Raw genomic sequence first — 20,570 nt, 5'->3', positions numbered from 1 at the left:
GTATAATTCATATTAAATTTTAGTAATTAATAATAAGCCCTTCACAATTGTACATATGAGAATAAGTGGTAATTAGAAAGAACGCTGCATTGCCTCCCTTCCAATGCCTATTTAAGCAAGCTTAATGTGAGTTAAATAGGAGTTGATGAGTGTGCGTATTTACCTGTATATCTATATCCATCTATCTACTTATATATACATACCATTCTTCAGATTAAATGTATTACCTTTCCTTACGGCTATCTCTTCACATGGATTATATATTTCTTTGTGGATCCTTCATCATTTGGGTTGAAATGAGCAATACCCTGTACTTTAATAACCTGTCTAACATAAGATCCAACACACCTACCAAAGAAACATGATGTTGTCTTACCCTGAAAAATATCTATTTGCTAAAAGATTTGTGAAAATCTCCTGATTGCTATAGGGATTTAAACCTAACAAATTGCACGTAGCACACCAAGTAAGCATTTAGAGAAAATTTTCTTGTGCTTGAGTGCCCTTTCAGCTGGACGTATCAAAGGCTTAGTGGGTTCCTCTTATACTGTCACCTCACTCTCTCAGGTAGAAAAATGCACAAAGTTATATCTTTTTCTTGTGTATTGATAAAACTTCAAGTAAATGACAGTGGAAACCAACTGTGAGAAGCTTTTGAAATTTTTGCCCAAGAGTTTTACTTAGAAATTGCCTTGGTTTGATAAATTAATCCCAGTTCCTGAACAGTGTAATTCAGTCATTAATTTTATTTTTTATTTTTGTTGTGCACAGTGTTGAGGCAAGGTGAGTGCTACACTGAGGATGGGAGAAGCCCCTAAAAAGATTGATGGGCCAGGTGGATGGTCATTGTCATAAAACTCACTTGTGGGACACAGCATTATAAGGAGTTTGTACTTACTTGGGTGTGGTAGAAACATAATCTGTACATTGTATGTTTTTCCATATAACATTGTTCTTTAGATAAATCAATACTAAATCTGAGAATTATCTGATAGTAGGAAAACTCATTGAAGTTAGTATATTATAATTTCTTTTATGCTTAAGTATAAAATATGAACATTGTGATGAATTTCTCAAATATCTGTTATTTTGACAGTACTAAAAAGCAAATTTTCATTATCTAAATAACTTCACATATGTGGATGTCCTTTGTCCTGAGTCTTTTGAAATCTTGTCTTATGGGATGCATTTGTACTTAATATGTTTCTTAGGTACACTTTTAGGGGAACTTGGTGGATCTTTTGTTAGGGCTACATTTCTAGTATCTTAGGTACCACTTACCCTCAGGGGAAACATTTAGTCAGACTGGCTGATAAACATGTCGCAGGTGACTTTAGAATTAAGTCTCATCTTGGAGATAGAAAGCTTGGGTTTATATTTTTAATTAAGTGCAGGCCTCTGTCCTTTACTTGAACCTAAGGAGTATCATGTAGCAGGAAGTTTTAGTTCAGCAGGATTCTGACTATTTTCAGGCAGTTCCACTTTGCAAACAAGATAGAATTAACACAAGGTGTGCTTTGAGCTTCTGGCTATGCCCAGTATTTTTAAGCTGCTTTGTAACATTTTTTTCATTCCAGGACCTTAAGGCAAACTTTAGGAGAAACTGGATATATTATGAAATAAAGAAATATCACAACATCTGACTCTTTCATTTATTACTCCATTGATTAATAAATATACTAAATGTAAAGAGGTGAGTTCAACACCCAGGAAACGTAAATATAAAAAGACAAAGCCTCCACCCTCAAGAAATATATCATCTAGGAGGGTTGGGATGGGAGACAAGTTCCATACTCAAAGAACAATAATGTAAGGTAGGTGCACTGCTTTCTGCTGTCTAGCAGCTCAGAGAGGGGAGCACTTTTCCTGTTCTCCTGCAATCAGAGAAACCATCATCTGAGAAAAACTGCTGCAGCCTTCGTCTGATGTTGATTCTTTTTTCTTTTCTTTTCTTCTTTTTTGTTTTTTTGAGTCAGGGTCTCACTCTGTCACCAAGGCTAGAGTGCAGTGGTACCATCATTGTTCACTGGAGTCTTGAACACCTGGGCTCAAATGATCCCACCTTAGCTTCCTGAGTAGCTGGGTAGCTGGGACTACAGGCAGCTACCACCATGCCCAGCAAACTGTTTTTTCTAATTGTTAGTAGAGATGAGGTCTTGTTGTGTTGGCTAGGCTGGAACTGATTCTTTAAAAAGTGCCCCCACCTAGGGTCCCTCTGAATATATTCACCAACATTCTGCCCCAGATGTTTTTATCTTCTCTTTTTCTCTTTTTGTCTACCTCTTCCTTTAAGCCATCCCTATGGCTTGTACTATCACTCCTAGGGAAACTAGCCTCAAACATAACTCTGATTTTTCTTCTAAATTCCATTTCTTCTTGGTCATGTCAGTGAGCTGTTGCCTTAAATTCTTCAGATTCATGGAGCCTAAAGTGAAACATAGATCACTTCTTTACTACCTGCCATTCCCTTGGGTATTTATGTTTCATTTCTGTTAAAGACATGACCATTTGCCTGGTTACCCAGGCTTGACAGTTGAGCTGCATTCTGCCATTTCTCCCATCTTCTTTCCAGATCTCCCTGATAACTAGTTAGTTGAAAAGACCTACTTGCCCCTAGTTCCAGTGTGTGGCTCACTTTTCCACTCTGCAGGACATCCTCAACACACCAAATTACACATTTGGCCACCTATGCCTTCTTTACACAGTGCCTACCCACATTAACTCACTCATCAAGTATTCACTGAATGCCTATTATATGCAACTCAGCATGAGGTGCCAAAGAATACAAAAGTAAAATTTTAAAAAAGTTGGAAGAGTTTTATAGAAGACAAGCATTCTTTCTAATGAGAGATATACATAAGCTATTTTTCAAAAACAATGTGACGAAATTACCGTCTCTGCTTGGGCATCCAGGAGCATGTCCTAAAAGAAATGACTTGAATTTTAAAGGCTAAGTAAGAGTTAACCAAGTAGAAGAGGAGGAAATGGCATTTCCAGATGAGAGACAAGTATGAACAAAGGCATATATTGCCTTGTGGAGATACGCAGGTTGAACCATTTTTTGGTCAGTTAATGACCCATCTCTTTCTTTTCTGAACTCCCATATGACATGAAAGTTCCTCTACCTTGTTTTATGGTCATTTTAGTATTTGCCAGCTCCTGCCTAGATTACAGGTTTTAAGGGCAAGGACCATGCATCAATTATCTTTGAACTCTCTATAGAACTTGGACCAATTATACATTTGTGGTAGGCTGAATAAGGGCTCCCAAAGATATCCACAATCTAACCCCCAGAACCTGTGACTCTGTAACCTTACATGGGAAAAAGGGCTTTGCAGATGTGATTAAGCAAAGGACCCCAGATGGGGAGATTATTTTGAATTACCTAGGTGGACTCCATGTCATCACAAGGGTCAGAATCCAAAGAGATGTGAGAATGAAAAGCACAAGTGAGAGCAGTGGGATAGCCAAATTTTAAGAGGGTTGTGAGCCAGAGAATATAGGCCGCCTCTAGAAGCTGCAGAAGGCCGGGGTGGACAGAGTCTCCCTGCGAACCTCCAGAAGCAGCACAACCCTGCCCACTCACGGTAGACTCCCGATCTCCGGGCTGTAGAATAATACATCTGCGCTATTTTAAGCCACTGTTTGTGATTGTCTGTTACAGAAGTAATAGAAAACTAATATGATGTTTAATATTCATAAATGTTTTATAGGTTTGTGACATGATTTTTAAACTTTTTCGTCTATATGGTATTAGGATGGCAGATATAAATTTTTTTAAAATTTATGCAGGGAATCCTTAATGTAACAACCACTAGATTGTGCTAATTTGATAAAGTAAAAAAAAATAGAAAATATTATATCATCAAAGAGGATTTTTAAAATAGTGAAGAGAAATTCTAGATATTGTGATTTTAGAGTCACATTATTGAACTAATGATATCCTATACTTTATAACACAATTCCAAGAAAATCTGACTGGGTGTAATTATCACAATCTGTGAATTTTCACTCAAATTTCCATAAAATATCATCCTCCATTTATCTTTTACTAGCTCCATAATTTAGAGTAAAAAGACAGTATGTAATGTGCATCGCAAGCTTCCCAGTATTTTCAAAGAAGAAAGTCCATAATCCCTTTTAGTAAATATTGGTGGACAATGAGGATGAAATATGGTTTATCGTATAAACAGTTCTGCCATTATTAGAGCATAGGAGGGCTTCAGAGTACGCCCACTCATTGCCACAAGCTGATGATGGAGACAAATACCTGTGGGACCCCAAGCATGCACAGGACATTGCTCATGGCTTTAGGAACTGAGGTACTCAGTATTTGGTCCTAACCATAAATGACTGCTAATGTGAGATTTACAAATACAGTAAACCTCATTAATGAATTCTATATCTGCAAATTCACCTACTCACAAAACCTTATATGTAACCCCAAAATCAATATTTATGGCACTTTGATGGTCAAAAGTGGATGTGTGCAGAGTGGCAAAAATTTGTGTTGTCCAACTGTGTACATTCCTAGCTGAGGCTAAAGAAGGCCACGCTCTGCCACCCTTTTTCAGCTCTTTATACAGAGATGACAAGAGGATGGAGATGGAAGAGACAGTCCAATGTAGTGCAAGAAGACTCTGCTCTGGGGCCATCTGGACAGCTTGAGTCCCATCTCTGATCCCTGTTAGTGGGGAAGCCTCAGGCAAGTCACATAACACCATTGAACCTTGTTTTTTCTTGTGTAATAAAATAGTATCTACCAGGACAACCTTGTTTTTAAGATGTTTTTAAGGTTTAAGATTATAATATATGTGAGAGAGATATATATATATATACTTTACATACACATGTATATACTTCCCCTAAGCGCAATGGTTCAGTATTCATTAATTCAGTGTTTGCAGAGGCTTTGTAGAACCAAACTACCATGAATAACAGGAACTGACTATACATTTCAATGTGAAGCATTTTATAGAGGGACTAGAGCTGGTCATGGTGATACTTAGAAAATGCTCATAATGAACCTCAGTTGGGAATAGATGGGCTTCACTCATGTGTTAGCATGCAGGCTGGCTGTATGTCACACTCTGTTACCCTGTTTCTCTCTTAGAGAAACAATAATGGATAAAATAATGAATTCCTTCTACCATGTTTGATATGGTTTGATTCTGTGTCCCCACCCAAATCTCAAGTCAAATTGTAATTCTCAGTGTTGGAGGAGGGACCTGGTGGGAGGTGATTGGACCATGGGGTCAGACTTCCCCCTTGCTGTTGTTGTGATAGAGTTCTCACAAGATCTAGTGTTTGAAAGTGTGTGGCACCTCCCCCTTCATGCTCTCTTTTTCTTGCCCCTGCCATGGAAACATGCTTGCTTCCCCTTCACCTTCCTCCATGATTGTAAGTTTCCTGAGGCCTCCCCAAAAACAGAAGCCTGTACAGCCCACAGGCTGCGAGCCAATTAAACCTCTTTTCTTTATAGATTACCCAGTCTCGGTTATGTCTTTATAGCAGTGTGAGAACAAATTAATACAATTTGTATATTTTTCTGTCTTTATATGAGCAAGATACATTATTTACCTACTAATAATTGGCAAGTTATAAGTTTTCCTCACAGTATTACATTTCAGAGGTGTAGATAAAAAGATATACAGAATTCATAGAGATGAAATCACTTCATCATTCCCCCACATTCCCGAAAGAAGTTTATTTCTTAGTTGCAAAAACACATCCAGAAAGAGGCTCCCTCCCCCACAATATTTCTCTATTAGGAAACAGAATCTTTTTTTCAAGACTCTGATTTAACAAGGTTTTATTAAGCACTGCACTGAGTGCTATGGAAGATTCAGATATAAAGGGTATTTTTCTTTCTCACCAATGCATTTCTACCATTTTGGGGGACACTAAGTGAAAATACAGAAAAGAAAAACTATAGAATAAAATATATGCAAGTATATTAAAGTCTAAACATTTAGTCACTAGCTTAAGACATTCCAAGAGAATTTGAAGGGTATTCAAACTAAAATTTTAGCCATTTGGAATTTTCCTTGATTTTCATTTATGTTCTAATTAAAATTATAATTGTTTTCTTCTATCAACGTGATTGACTCTAAACATTAGTAAAGAAAAAGAAAGAAAAACCCACTAGCACCACCAATGACTATAACAAAAATTGTTCCAAAGTTTCCACACAGAGTCAATAAACTCTATCTTGGTGGGTTAAATGAACCATGTGAAGCTATAAATTCAGAATTTTATGCACATTATAAGAACACAGTATAAAATATAGATGGACTGCCTTTTCTAGTAGAGTGAGAACTCCCTGATCAATTTTTGCAGTTATGCCTTGTATGAAAGCCTCTCGAGTCCATTTGACAGATCACCTCTCTAAAGAGCTAAATGTGTGGTTAAATGATTGATTATTCTCCCCCTTCAGCTCCTTTCCCCTCATTGGACATGTAGCCTCGTCTCCTTTTCCCATCATGTGCAGATAATATGGAACAACCTCTGTCCTAAGCTTTCTGTCAAACACTTTATTGGCCTGATGGTGGATGAGGAGAGATGCATAGGATTCAAAGCTTACACAGAGGATTCATATGCTGAATTTAAGTTGCAAGACCTCAAGGTTATGCAGAGGAAAACCAGGAGTCCCTCGTGTAAGCTGTGGATAGAATGGTCTGTTCTGGACTCATTCGGGTATACACTAATGAAAACCTAGCTGCTGTCAATAGGAGTTGGTAGGGAAGTATAGGCTCACGGACTGTGGAATTTCATTCTGAACTCCTTTGGCTCTCACTTGCCACACTGGCCCACACCTATACCAGGATTTGCTTACTGGTCAGGCACCAAAGTGTTCCAAGAATTCTAAAGAGTTTCTCCTTTGAAAATAAGTTTTAAGTGGAAACTTAGTGACCTAGAAAAAAACTGAACCTACTAAAATGGACCAATACTACACACATACACTTACACACACACATTCATTAATAACAAGTCAGTCCTTTAAATTAAAATAAACAGGATAGAGTTACTGCTACTGCTTCTGGAATTGTCCCATATCAGAAAGAGCCTAAAATTTCTAATTATCTCTCATTTAACTAAACTCTCAGGAATTTAATCCTCTTCAGAGAGCCTATTGTCTTGAAATTGCACATTTAGATAAGGAAACCAAGTTCTTTTTATCAAAGTACTTTATGAATATTAAGAAATGTCAGATTCAGTAATTTATCACCTGGATACCATGTGCTTTGAAGCGGAGGATGCGATAACAATGGTAATGACACAGTAAATTATGTTACCATGGCAGGACAGCCTCCAATGGCTACTCGGGTTTCAGCTCTGTGCACTTCACATCTTTATCACAACCTGGATCAAGGGGGTATGGGGATCACACAGGTGTTAAAATGTTTTGAGCTCCTAGAGTTTAATAATTTGCTCCATGGATCCTGGCATTCATGACAGTCTTTTAGGTGCCATTAAAATATCCCTAAATCTGGCAGATTTTTTTTAAATATTTAGGTGTTGTGTAATCAATTTTAGTCATTCTTACACAGTACATACGAGAAGAGTGAATGTTTTCCATGTCTAATAGGAGATGTAAGAAGTTTTGCACATCTGGGAGTATGTGTGTGGAAGAGATACTTCATTGTAGGTAATTGATGCTGGCAAATGAGATTTTTAAGTTTTGTTAAAAACAAAGTGTTTCTGGTACAGTCTAATATTATGTGTTATTATGATCCAATAAACTGTGTTCACATGAATTCCACCTACAAGTGGATAAAGTTAATTTTGTAAGAATGTCAGACTACTTGGAGTCAGAATGTATTTTCTCAACACTGAATCAGAACCTAGGAAAGAATGAATGATACTTTCAGATAAGACCAGTTGGCAGCCTAGAATTTGTTTTATTTTTCCTTCTTTGGTATCTATCTGAAAACAAGGCTTTCTTTTTTCTTCTCTGTCCCCCTCTTTGTGTGTGTGTGTTTGTGTGTATCTTGAGTACTTTGCTTTCTTAAGCAGTGGAAATTTAGTATGTTTGCTATCTGGTTGGAAAAGTTTGTAAACTGAGCGTGACAAATATCAACCCACCACTGGAGCTCCTTGCAACTAATGAAATGTGTCAGCCAAAAAAAAAACAAAAAACAAAAAAAACAAACAAAAAAAGCAACCCCCAAAACCCTCTCATAAGAGCTGCAATATACGCTAGTCAAAGAGGCAATGGCTGCACCAATTTAGGAGTGTTTCATTTTTCTTTATCAGTGATCTACAGTCTCTATTTCCTAGCTTTTACACATAAAAAAAAGAAAAACATAGTGGAAAAACATTTTCTTTAAAGCATTATATTTTTCCTATTTGGTGACTATATACTATAGATGTTAAATCTTATAAGTTATTGTCCTTTCAATATATAAAATATAAAATTTATATATTAGATATATAGATATACATAAACTATATATCATATATTTATATAATTATAATGTATATTTTATAATTATATATAAGTTAATATTATTTATTTTTATTAAGATTACATATAAATGTAACATATTGACATACTCTCCTAACCTCACCAATAATTAAAAAATAAAGTATAAGCTTTGTTAATTTTGCAAAGCTAGGAAATATCATGTGTTTTATATAAATAGAATACCAACATCAAACCCCCGCAACCCTAGACAGGCTGATGGCTTTATGTCAATGCCAGGACTTGGAGTAGGGGAAGACAGGTAGTCAGGAGGATGGGAATGCTTTGTCATCCTCATTTCCTAGAGAAAGTCAAAATTTGACAGACGGGGGAAGGATAACTTTAGTAGATTCCATTTTATTTAACTCTATAAACACACAAACCTTTTACCCCTAGGCTATTTTTTAAATGCTAATAATTTTAAAGGCACTCTCATTAACTTGAAACATTTTTATAGTTTTGTTTTTGTTTGAAAACTCATACCAGTCATTAAAGACTATGTCAGTTACTCCATAGATGGTATTCATGTGGATTCAGATATTTGGGGTAAATAATAAAGAAGAAAAGAAAATGAATTTGACGAGAGATCCTTCATGCTAAGCTGGCCAAAATAAATCACAGTTTTGAAAATAACATATCCCTTGGGAGAAAGTTGCTTCCACGCTTTGTAACTTAAGGATGTTAGTCTCATAAAGTTTCACACATTTGAAGTGCATGGTAAACAGCTAGTTGTCATATTCAAATGTGCTAGGATAAAATATGAATTTCTTTGTTCTGTTCTTAACTTTGTTGCCAAATATATGCTGCTTTAGGTAAGACATGTTGTTCTGTGTCTCAGTTATTGCTTTGTTGCTACTTATCAAAGATGAATGATGCCTGCACCTCCTCATAGAGTTGTAGGGTGCAACTAAGATTACAAAAAATAAGAAAAGATGAAATAATAAATGTGAACCCAAAGAGACAGAAAATGTAATGCTGCTACTTTATATAATATATATATTTGTGACTATATATAGTCAGTATATATATATAAATAGTCACAAAAAGTAAGCAAAATACTGTTTAAAGAGGTACTGAATGTCAGAAGCCACAAATAGCTTCTTGCAGGGGGTTGCGGGGGAGTAGGGGAACCACAGAGAGTGCAGCAGGAGTGGCTACTGAATACGTCAATCTCATGGAATGGCGACCTTGACTCTCCTTCCTGCAGCAGCCTCTCAGCATCAGCCCCTCGATGACCCCTCTCCATTACCCCTAGGAACCTTCCTGTCTAGGCTATGCCATCTTCCCTCTGGTCACACTGCAGGTTTACCCATTCCTGACTATATACTTGCTGCTGATGTCACCTCAGTGTGTCACATAGTGTTTTACAGTCTGGGCTACTCAGTCTAAGGGTTTCACTTCCCCACTTTGACCCAGCACCTGCGCTGCCCACCCCCACCCCCCACCCCCATCAGCTGGGCGCTACCAGTGCACCAGCTTAACTTGTTATCCCAGCAGTGGCATCATTCTTATCCTGGGTTGTCTCCTTAGGAGATCCTAGAAAATGCCTCAGCCAGGCCAGCATTCCAACAGGATAACTACATTAGGTTAAGCAGTCATAGCAATGCCCCTCCAGAACATACGCTCTGCTCTTCCAAGCCACTGTGGCCTTGCACGTCATAGTGGTTGGAGTTCTCAGAACATTGTGAGGCAGACCAGTGTGAATTCCAGCTTCTTCATCCAGCTACATATTCACCTACAAGTACAAAATTCCCATTGCCAATTAGAGGATGCCCTGGTGCTGATTCTGCTCTAGTCACTTGGTGATTTAGCCCAACGCTTCTCAAATTTCAGCGGGCAAACAAACTACTGAAGTCTTGCTGAAGTCCAGATTCTGATTTGGTAGATCCTGAAATGTAACCTGAGACTCTTCATAACTAATGAGTTCCTGGTAATCATACTGCGGCTTGTCCCCCATACTTTGAGTTGCAAGGATCTACCCAGAGTTGGATTGTACTTCTCAAACAGAAAGAGAAGCCCCTACTGGACCAATAAGTCTTAATAAGGCATACTTCTATGCTTCCATTAATTCTAGCAGTTACTTTAAAGCCATAAACTGGACTAAAAAGTCTTCTGCCAAGGCTTGGATTACTGGAGCAACAAAGCCTTTTGTATCTGTTAGGAAAGAAGCTATCTGTCAGGATGATCTGACCTGATTTTCTGGATCTCATCAGGTTTGGGTCCAAGTGAGGCTGCACATCTGGCCAAGGAGAACTGGTCTCTGTGTAAGGCAGAGTGTCAACTTAGTTACAGGTCACACATGTGGACACGCAAGCCTACAACTTCGACCTCTGGCACATCCTATGTCCCCTACTAACTTAAAGCATTTCATCAGCAATGTAAATATTGCCAAGAAGTTGCTAAGGAAAAGCCTTTTGGCAACTAGATGGTCTGTCTTCAATGTTCATCATGAGTCCACTGGAGCTAACAAATCATGAAATTGTTGCTGACAACCCTGGTTGTACAGCATCCTGAAGTGAGGGAAATGCCAACAATTATGCCAGAAGGAAAGCTTTAAGGATATTCTACATCCTGGCTTCAAACAACAAAGCTTTATTGCAGACTGCAAGGAAGTGGCAGACACAAGGAAATGAGGCTGGTGCATTGAAATCCACAAAGGAAGAACTTTTCTCAGAGCAGAGACTTCACAAGCTCACTATTAGTTTAAGATCTAGAGCTACAAACAGTCACAGCCTCTCAAAAGCCCAGCTATAGTCCAATCAAAGAACAAACTTCACACCGGGCAATATGGAAAAAGCTGTTGAGTCAACATTCATCCTAACAGCCACACTTATACATAATGGTAAGCAGGAACAGCATCACCGTCAAATAGAAAAGACAGCAAATATGTAGAAGGCCAATTGGTAATAAAATATATCACATTAGATATATACCAGCAGGAAAAAGGGGAAGATGAGAGACTATTTATACTAATTCATTGTGAAGATGTCTATAATTGATGCAGTCTTGGAATCATGAAAATAGGGATCCCCCCCAAGGCCCTTTGTTATTATATTAATGCCTGCTCATTATTTGTATGTCCTCTAGCAATAATGTCACTTTTATATGAATAATGCACAGTTCATTTTGTCCTGGCAGCTAATTTCTCAACAATGTATTTATGAGGATAATACAGATATTTTAGTGATTTCTCCAAAAGAAACAACAAAGTTTTTGAATTGAGAAAAAAAGTCTAATATTTACCACTTAGAGGAATGCAACAATATATTTATTGAGCACCTTCTTTGAGTGAAATATTTTCTTAGGATAAATCTCACATTATAAGTGTGATTGCTCATTTATGCTAGAGTGTGTCCCTGTGCTCAAGGACAGCAGATATATTTACATAAGTCATTATCTAATGAGTTAGAACATTTTAAATATCACAAGAGAACTATAAGCAAACTGTTAGGGAATTTCAAATATTAAGTCTAGATCATTTCCAGTTTTATAGTTCAGGGCTGGGGAAGAAGCCAAGGAAACCTTTATAACAAGGTGGATTAAACTTGTGCCCTGAAGAGTGAATGAAATACTGATGTGTATCAATGATGGAAGGCTAGATAAAGAGGAAGACTATTTCAGAAGATCAGGATCCAGTTAGAGAAAGAGAAACTACTCTGGTTACAAAGGTGCTAGAGAGCTGAGGAGCCTAACAGTGGATGGCGAGGTACCCCAAGAAGAACAAGACCAAGAGGCCACCAGGGTGGAAGGATAGTGGAAGGAAATCATTCTCAGAGCCCAGAAACTAGCGCCAGTTGGCAGAGGCTGGCCACAGGGAGGTGGAGCCATGAAAGGAGAGGGAGACTCATGGGAACTAGGCCCACGGAGAGGCCACAGGACCCTGTGGGGTACTGGGGGGTCAGCAACAGAGGAGAGTCTGGCTAGTCCCCTCCTTTTATCCTCCAAAGGTTCATCAATACCCAGCACTGACCAAACCTACCAAAAAGCACAAGCAAACTTGGAAAATTTAGCTTCTGCTAACACAGAGCAAAGTAGGATAAGGGTGTGAATAAACCTGAGAACAAACCAGCAGTAGACCTGCATAACTGGCAAAAGCAAGGACAACAAAAAGCAAGGAGTGTTTGGGAAATGGCAAGTTCTATAGTTTACCTCTAACGGGGGTGACATAGGACAAGGTCAAACCTCTTTTGTTCCCACTTAGTGGGGGACCTAGAGTACCTGACATATGGTAAGTCTCAATAAACACATCTTCATTAAATAAATGCAAGAGTGAAATCATGTAAACTAAATATGGAAACATAGATTGGAACCCTATCATGGAAAATATTAAATGGCAGGCTAAAAGGTTTGACATTTACTACTATTTGACATTGGTAGGCAATGGAGAGCCATTTCAGACCTTCATGCCTGGAAAGATGATCAAAATTATGCTTCCTATTGAACAGATATAGAGATAAGCCTTATTATATTTGGCCCAGTCAGCCAATTATATTATGTATAATTTGTAAGGCTTAGTATAAAATAAAAATGTAGGGCCTCTGGTTCAAATGTTATTAAGAATTTTATAAAGAGCATTAAGTGTGGAGCCCCTGAAGCTGACCCAAGCCCAGTGCATTATATTAGATGCCTCTGAAAAATAAATTTACTAGTATCATTGTTAATTGTCAAACTTAGGGCAGATAGTAGCTACAAGAAAGTTCTAAATATAAGACAACCACCATTATCTGATTTATTCTTGAATGGGCATTATCCTAATCTTTTCTGGAATTAACTTTTTATGTGCCGAACAGTGGCATAGAGGGTGATTTAAATACCAATTATCTTCCTATGAAATTATTGCTTTTTAAATCATTTAACGTGTTCAAGGCACTGTTGCTAAAATGGTAACCCATGTTCTCCTGCATTATTTAATTCATGTTCTTAAAACAGTTCATTTTGAACCTCTTTCTGGCTCAAATGCCAACTAATTTACTGCTGCTGCTTGGTTTACTAGGATTCAAATTAGAACAGTATCCTTTTGCTGTAATTTGTGTCTGGTGGTGCTCAATTCAGTTTAGGTAGCCCCCAAATCGGTTTTCACATATCTGTTTAATTTTCATTTTGTAGCAATAGAAGACAGGTCTATTCAAAAAAGTCACAATGAATTAATATAGCAGGAATTTGGAAACTGGAGTTATAGTGCATATAGCCCCTATGTTTCAATAGATATTTCAGAGTATGTTCAGTAGTTTATAGCAGATTTATTGTGCTATCTGTGTAATGGTTGGCATCTGCAATCCATCAAGACTTTATGCTTGTGAAGAAGGAGTGTTGACTTTGTATTTAATATGAGTATAGGAAGAAGACTGGCTTTTTGGGAACATTTTCTATCATTCTGATTTTTTTCAGTCATACATTTTCTCACTTTTTCATGTTGAGGACTTACAAAAGAAATTCTTAGAAATGTTTGCAATTGTCTCACAGGCTTATTGAACCACAGAAACGGAGATAAGAGAGTATGTCACAGGTGGGATCATTGCTTTTTATAACTGCAAAATTATATTAAGGAACTATAGGGTACATTAGAGAACATAAACAGCCTTTATTATAGGATGATAAGAAAACTGGTGGTCCAAAAGTTAGCAATAAGTAAAAGTACCAATTTCATAAATCAATTTATTAATATGTCTTTATCTATTCTACAGTTACTTATTTAACCCTAACACCACTTTACATTTTGGCTGCTCCTGATAGTAAGAGCTTAAAATCTACTGGAAGGGAAAAATAATTAAAGAAAAGTAAGCAAGGATTTCCAGGCAATTTGGCAACCTGAGCTGATGTGAAGGAATTTCTTCCCCGAATCCAAACACATAAAATGGCAGGCAAAATACAACAAAAGCTTTCAAACTCACCATAAAACAACAATAGAAAACCTTCATGTCCTAGAAAAGAAAAGGAGCTCAAAGTAAAAAATGTGAGGAGGAGCTGATTCCATTCTTACATCACGTTTGAAGAGAAATCCAGGCCACAGGCTTCATACATATGACGATGTGAAATCATGACCACATTTGTGAAAGGGGCCTGGAAGAAACCTGCAGTTGTCCCAGAGATGCAGCACTAGCAAGTAAGCCAAAGGCCACAAGAATAAAATGAGGCATCCCAAAGAAACTTGAACCTCTGACTTCCATACTATGTGAATGAATATAGGGTACAAATTCAACTACCCTAGTAGTATGTTGGTAAGTTAAAATAATAAATGGTCCAAAATTGATGAAATACCTGGATATCATCAGGAGCAAATGCAAATTACTCTAGAAAAATTTCCACAGCCAAGGACACATGTAACGTACACAAAGAGTTATCGCCATCTTTCACTGGGGATAATTCAAAGATTTAAACTTATATAATGATATGAATTATTTGAAGGGAGATCAGCACACATAACACAAAAGTTAGTTTTTACCCCAAGAACTAGAAACAAAGAACCTGAAAATGAAAAGACCTCAAGTACATCTTAAATGTTCAAAGAAATAAAAGAAATAAATGAATAGCTCAAAACTCTTAAGGAAAATGTAAAGTCAGTATGAAAAAAAGGACATATGGTATAAGTAAAAACCAAATAAAATTTTAAAATAAAAAAGTGCCTATTATGATAAAATTTAATAAATGGGAAGGACAGAGGAGCAATCATAGTTTTCAAAATTACTCTATCTCTCTTTATTCCTCTTATTTTCTCTAATTCCCACTCGAGTATCTGTAACATATACAGGTTCTTATCAATATAAGCAAATAAAGTAAGCACTTTATTTTCCCTTTTAGGGGCATGGTTAGGTTTGCAAGACAGAGGAGCAGACAGTGAAAGTTGAGGAAGGGAATGTTTCAGATAGTCTTGGGGACTCTATGGGAGAGAGGAAAATGGATCATTCAAAAGCAGCTCCCAAAGTAATATGATATGCAATAGTTATAACTTCTTTGTTTTCCCACAGATTATTTTAAATATCTGCTTTGAGTTTTGGTACCCTTTCTCCAGACCACGCCCTAGTGTGGCTGCAATAAAATGATAGAGGGACACAGGGGCTTAATAAACTAAACTGGACAGGCATTCCTAGAATCATCAGGGCCATCAGATTCAGTCAATCTCAATATATTAGGTTTAACATTCTAAAACTCACAGTAACCACTCCTTTTTAAAAAGCTGCTTTACGCAAGAGTACATATGGGCCCATAGAAAAGTGAAGATACGAGAGCAGAACTGTAAATCCTCCTCAAAACAAACCACTTCTTGATAAAAATAGATAAATGAAAAAGAAACACCTTGGGTACTATCCCACCATTAAAATTGACAGAATTGAGTTAGTCGTTGAATCCTTTGACCCTATTACAGGAAAGCCCTTTATTTATTTATTTATTTATTTTACTTTTTTCTTTTTCTTCTTTTTATTTTTCTAAGGAGAATGAAAATGCCAGACAGCAGTGTGTTGTTCCTGCCACAAAATATTATTAAAGCATAACTAGCAAACCAGAAAGCATCGCCCTGTAAATTTAATGCAGTGTCAGTTTTGATCTAGATGTTTTGCTCTCCAAAGAGATGCTTAATCTTCTAAACAAAATTGAACTGAATGATTTTCAAAAAAAAAAGTCGGTTATGGTGAAGTGTCAGTGCAGTTTACCAGCCAAGTTATCCACTAGTGACATTCCCATAGGTTAGTATATGAATCTGAAACTTTGGTCTAACTATGAAAATATTGATTGGGTGGTGCAATAATAAATGGTACCATACCATTTTACTTTCAAGAAAGTAGAATTAGAAAATTGGGTCCTACTACTGGAATTTAATGTTTGGAATATAGATAATTCTATCTTAATAAAAAAGATCAGAGTAATCAAGAGATCACACACATGAAACAGAAACCACCACAGAAACGTAAGGCCTTATTAAAAATAATCACTAGTAAGACAAAGATATTTACTGAACTTTGTGCTCTCCTAGAAGTCATGGTATTTATAAGTTTAATGAGTCCTATTTAGTAAATATTTTTAGAATTTACTCTAGCTTTTCAAGAACCAAATAAATACATGTAAGAAGTTAAAATAATTTAGGTTATATAGTGAAGTATAATTAATGAAAAACACAACTAGGTTTATGTCAAATTATAAATGCTAAAATATCACCAACTAGTTAAGGCACTTAATTAAATAATTAATGTAGGAAATGTGAATGATTTAGGCCTTTGGGGGTCAGTGTCATCCTGACAGGTATAACAATCATATTGGCTGAGTATTGTGGCTCATGCCTATAATCCCAACTCTTTTGGGAGGGAGGCTAAGGCAAGGGGATTGCTTGAGGCTAGGAATATGAGGCCAACCTGGGCAACAAATGGAAACCCTGACTCTAAAAAATAAATTTAAAAAACAGAATCATAGTTATTTTTATTTTACTATAACTTAAGAGTTGTGAATTTATATTTGTCATTTATTCAGCATTTCTTTTAACTTTTATAATAAGCCTAACAGTTTAGTATTATTGCTTCCACCTTGAACATGAGGAGATGGAAGTCCAGAGAGGACAGCAACTGGCCAAGGTCACTTTACTACACCTGGAAGAGAGAGGGTCCAAATGCTGGCCCTCTCGCTATTTTACCTTGTTAACTCCTAGCAATTAAAACTTAAAATATGCAAATAAGTAATAGCTGCGTTGCAGCAAGTTCTTCTCCTTTTGACTTTGTTGCCCAGATCCAAAAGTCTCCCACCCTTCATGAGGTACCCATTTTTTAAGATCCAAATAAATGGACTGTTTTTCCACCCTCTGTGAGGTCCTGTGCCCTCTACATGCCACCTTTACTGGGGGCTAATAAGCTCTTCCGGTTATCACCTGTTTCATTTTCTGCTTATGCCACATTCTTGTTCCTACTCCATGTTTTACCTCCTAGAACAAGACACTCTCTGATGTATATCAACCCCAAGATGGGCCATAAACTTTTGCCACCCTCACATGGCACTATAAAGCCAAAGTGACTTTTGTTAATTGGAAGATTGATAGAATGGGGTCCAACATAATGCAGAATTGGAAATAACTTAATATTGAAAGTAGTTATCATGGTTCCAAGTATTTTCTTTTCGTTTCCTAAAAAGGGAATTTCTTATTGATTGTATCCTTCCTTAGGATCCAACTGACTACCATATTTATATATTCACCTAGAGGAGGCCTCTCTTTTTATATCGTTTCTCCCTTACTATTTTCAGGGTCATTAAACCTTATCTCTCTCAAAAAAAAAAAAAAAAAAGCAGTGAACGACTCTATAAATCCTCTTACTTCATTATACCTTTCCTTTTCTCCACTCTCTCCCAACTGGACTATACCAGGAGTCTCACTTGAATAACCAAAATGAATTTTTAAGGAATCAGGGAATTTTCCTAAAGAATTATTTTTTTTCTGGAGATGGCATTCTGCTCCTCCCCTAGAAGGCAAAAGAAAGTGGCTGCCATTTGTTTTGTTTTGATAGCAAACTTTCCTTCTTGTTACATTTGTGTTTTTAATACTATCTATTTGCACACAGTGGTTATAAAAGATTCCAGAATTTTAAAAAAATGAGGTCTAAAATTCTTGGCTTTCCAAAATTGGAGAAAAACAAAATACCTCGAAGATTCTTACATTCCTCTGAAAGCAGACCAAAGTCCGACTAAATGTAGCTGGCTGTGAGCTGTTCTTTACCCAGCAGACTTCCTTAATATGTATGTATTTTAATTCCATTACATGACATTATCCAGTCTTCAAGATGAAATATTAAGATGTTTATGGAAGAGTTTTCTGCCACTTACACACAGGAAGAAAAGCTTCAGGCGACGGCTGTTCTTTCTGTCCCCTCAAGTTTATACATTACAGACCTTATTTGTATGCACCAAAACTAAACATCTTGCCAGGGGATACAGATCCCTGTGTGCCCTGCTAAAGAGGTGGCATGTGATGCTTGAAATGTTTGAGATGACAAATAGCCCAGCAGGCCTGGCCTCTTCCTCTCCTGCCCTGGGCTGCTGGCAATCTATTTCAAATTGTGTGTGCATTGTAGGGTGAAGCCTGTACCAAGAAGTGCCAGCCTCACCCCAAGCAGTGTCCTATTGAATATGGGATTAAGTGAAAGTCTCTGGACTAGCCAGAGAACAAAAGAGCGTATCATCACCAGAGGCAGGAGCAGCTCACCAGAAGGAACCTGTATACTCCACATTTCTTTCAAATGTTTATGTTGTCATATGGAATTCTGTCAAATGTTTTTAAATGGAAAAATGCACCCACCATGATTCTTTAAATGAATAGTTCCGCCATCCATGAGGGCATCATCTGAATGCCTAGAACAAAATCTGGAGTTCGAACTGTCTTGAGTTGAAGCTAGCCTTGCCATTTTTGCTTATAGCTCAAATAGTACTTTCCAGTGCAAAAATGTCACTGCTCTGATGCGTGCGGAACAGAGTGCTCTGCTTGTATTAATCATGGTGCCGTCTGCATGGGTGGATATTGTTGGAAGCCAGAGACAGCAACCTGGGCCCCATCATGCTGGCTCCAGGAAAATGTTGGCAGAGCCCACAAGCTGATTTTTTTTTTTTCGCTGTAAGGCTTAGGTATTACAAATGTGTGATCTGAATTTTGTAACATTTTTCTTCACCTTTTGAAATTACTCTTTTCTCTATCTATTATCACTTGCCCAGGGTTTCCAATGAGCTTGTTAAGAACTAAGATCAGCCAGCCTATTCATACTCAGGCCTGATTTTTCTTTACCCATAATATCTAGCAGTGTCACAACAGAGCTTAAAAAAAAAGTCTCTGTATATAGCCCATAGGTATTCAGGATTCTGGAGGATACCTGTTAGATGTCCCTGGAAATATAATTGGATTGTGCACATTTGGGATTGGCTTCTCCTCCTTCCAGAGCCACCCCATTAAGATGGAACACAATACTACAAAATTTACAGCCCTCGTGGCCTCCCACCTTCACCACCCCCACCACCCTCACCCAGATTTGAATACAACTGGCTCAACTGAAGGATAAAACTTCAATTAAAAAAAACCACACATGTAATATGCAAATAATCTCATAACTTTTTTGAAAAAAAATCTATAGCAAATAGTGAATTGAGGAGTTTAAAATCAAACTGACAGATTGGGGCTATGTAAGCAGCCAGTTCAGATAATTTTATGGAAGGAAAAACTTACATATTTTGCACAACAAAGGAAAAAGAATAGAAATGACCCATTTCCACAAGACTTCAGAGAACATTTTATACACATGACAGTGGATTGTCTGTATCCTATAAAATAATGCTAGGAGGAAAGGCTAACTCCATCCCACTTTATTTACTTCACACCAGTATAGGATTTTTAAAAAGAATTTCTTCAATTTTTAAAATGTACAATAAATTTGATGATGATCATTTATAAAGATACTTGTATTTAATTTATTTGTATTTTATCTCCTTAGGATAAGCTTTGCTAGGTGTGTTTGAGATAGGAAACTGGAGACTGTATAAATCAAAAGGATAGTTTAAATCAATTTGTGTCTCTCAGTTTTGTACATAAATTAGACCAGTATCACAAATATATGAGGGAGCATATGTGGTAAACAGTGTGATTTGTGAAAGCCCTGGATTCTAATCCAGAATCTAATGTTTACTGGGTAATCTTGGGCAAGTTTACCTCTCTGAGTCTCTATTTCTTATTTACAAGCTATGGACAAAATATTTCCCCCTTCTTTCCCCTGGGACTGAGCTGAGAATCCAGTGAGACAATGCATGTGTGCTAGTCATCTCTGTGCCTTCTCCCAGGAACTACCCTTGGTGTTTTGTCATGACACACCTGCCCCTGTAATTGCTGGGCCTGAGGCAAGAGACCTACCAGGTGAGGTGTCAGAGCCCTGGCAGCAAAGAGTGGTTGGCTCCCGGCAGTAAAAAGAATTGACTCATCATTACTGGCCATCAGAGAAATGCAAATCAAAACCACAATGAGATAGCAACTCACACCAGTTAGAATGGCGATCATTAAAAAGTCAGGAAACAACAGGTGTTGGAGAGGATGTGGAGAAATAGGAACACTTTTACACTGTTGGTGGGACTGTAAACTAGTTCAACCATTGTGGAA

The 20,570-nt window shown here is 37.3% G+C and overlaps 1 protein-coding gene across 4 annotated transcripts in view; it reads left to right on the top strand.

Annotated features, from left to right (window-relative positions):
* The window catches only part of CHST9 (carbohydrate sulfotransferase 9), a 278,828-nt gene that overhangs the window by 101,997 nt on the left and 156,261 nt on the right, over positions 1 to 20,570 (top strand). The window lies entirely within an intron of this gene.

Source organism: Homo sapiens, chromosome 18, assembly GCF_000001405.40.
Source record: "Homo sapiens chromosome 18, GRCh38.p14 Primary Assembly".
Taxonomy (NCBI): Eukaryota; Metazoa; Chordata; class Mammalia; order Primates; family Hominidae; genus Homo; species Homo sapiens.
This window is presented reverse-complemented; position numbering and strand designations above follow the sequence as displayed.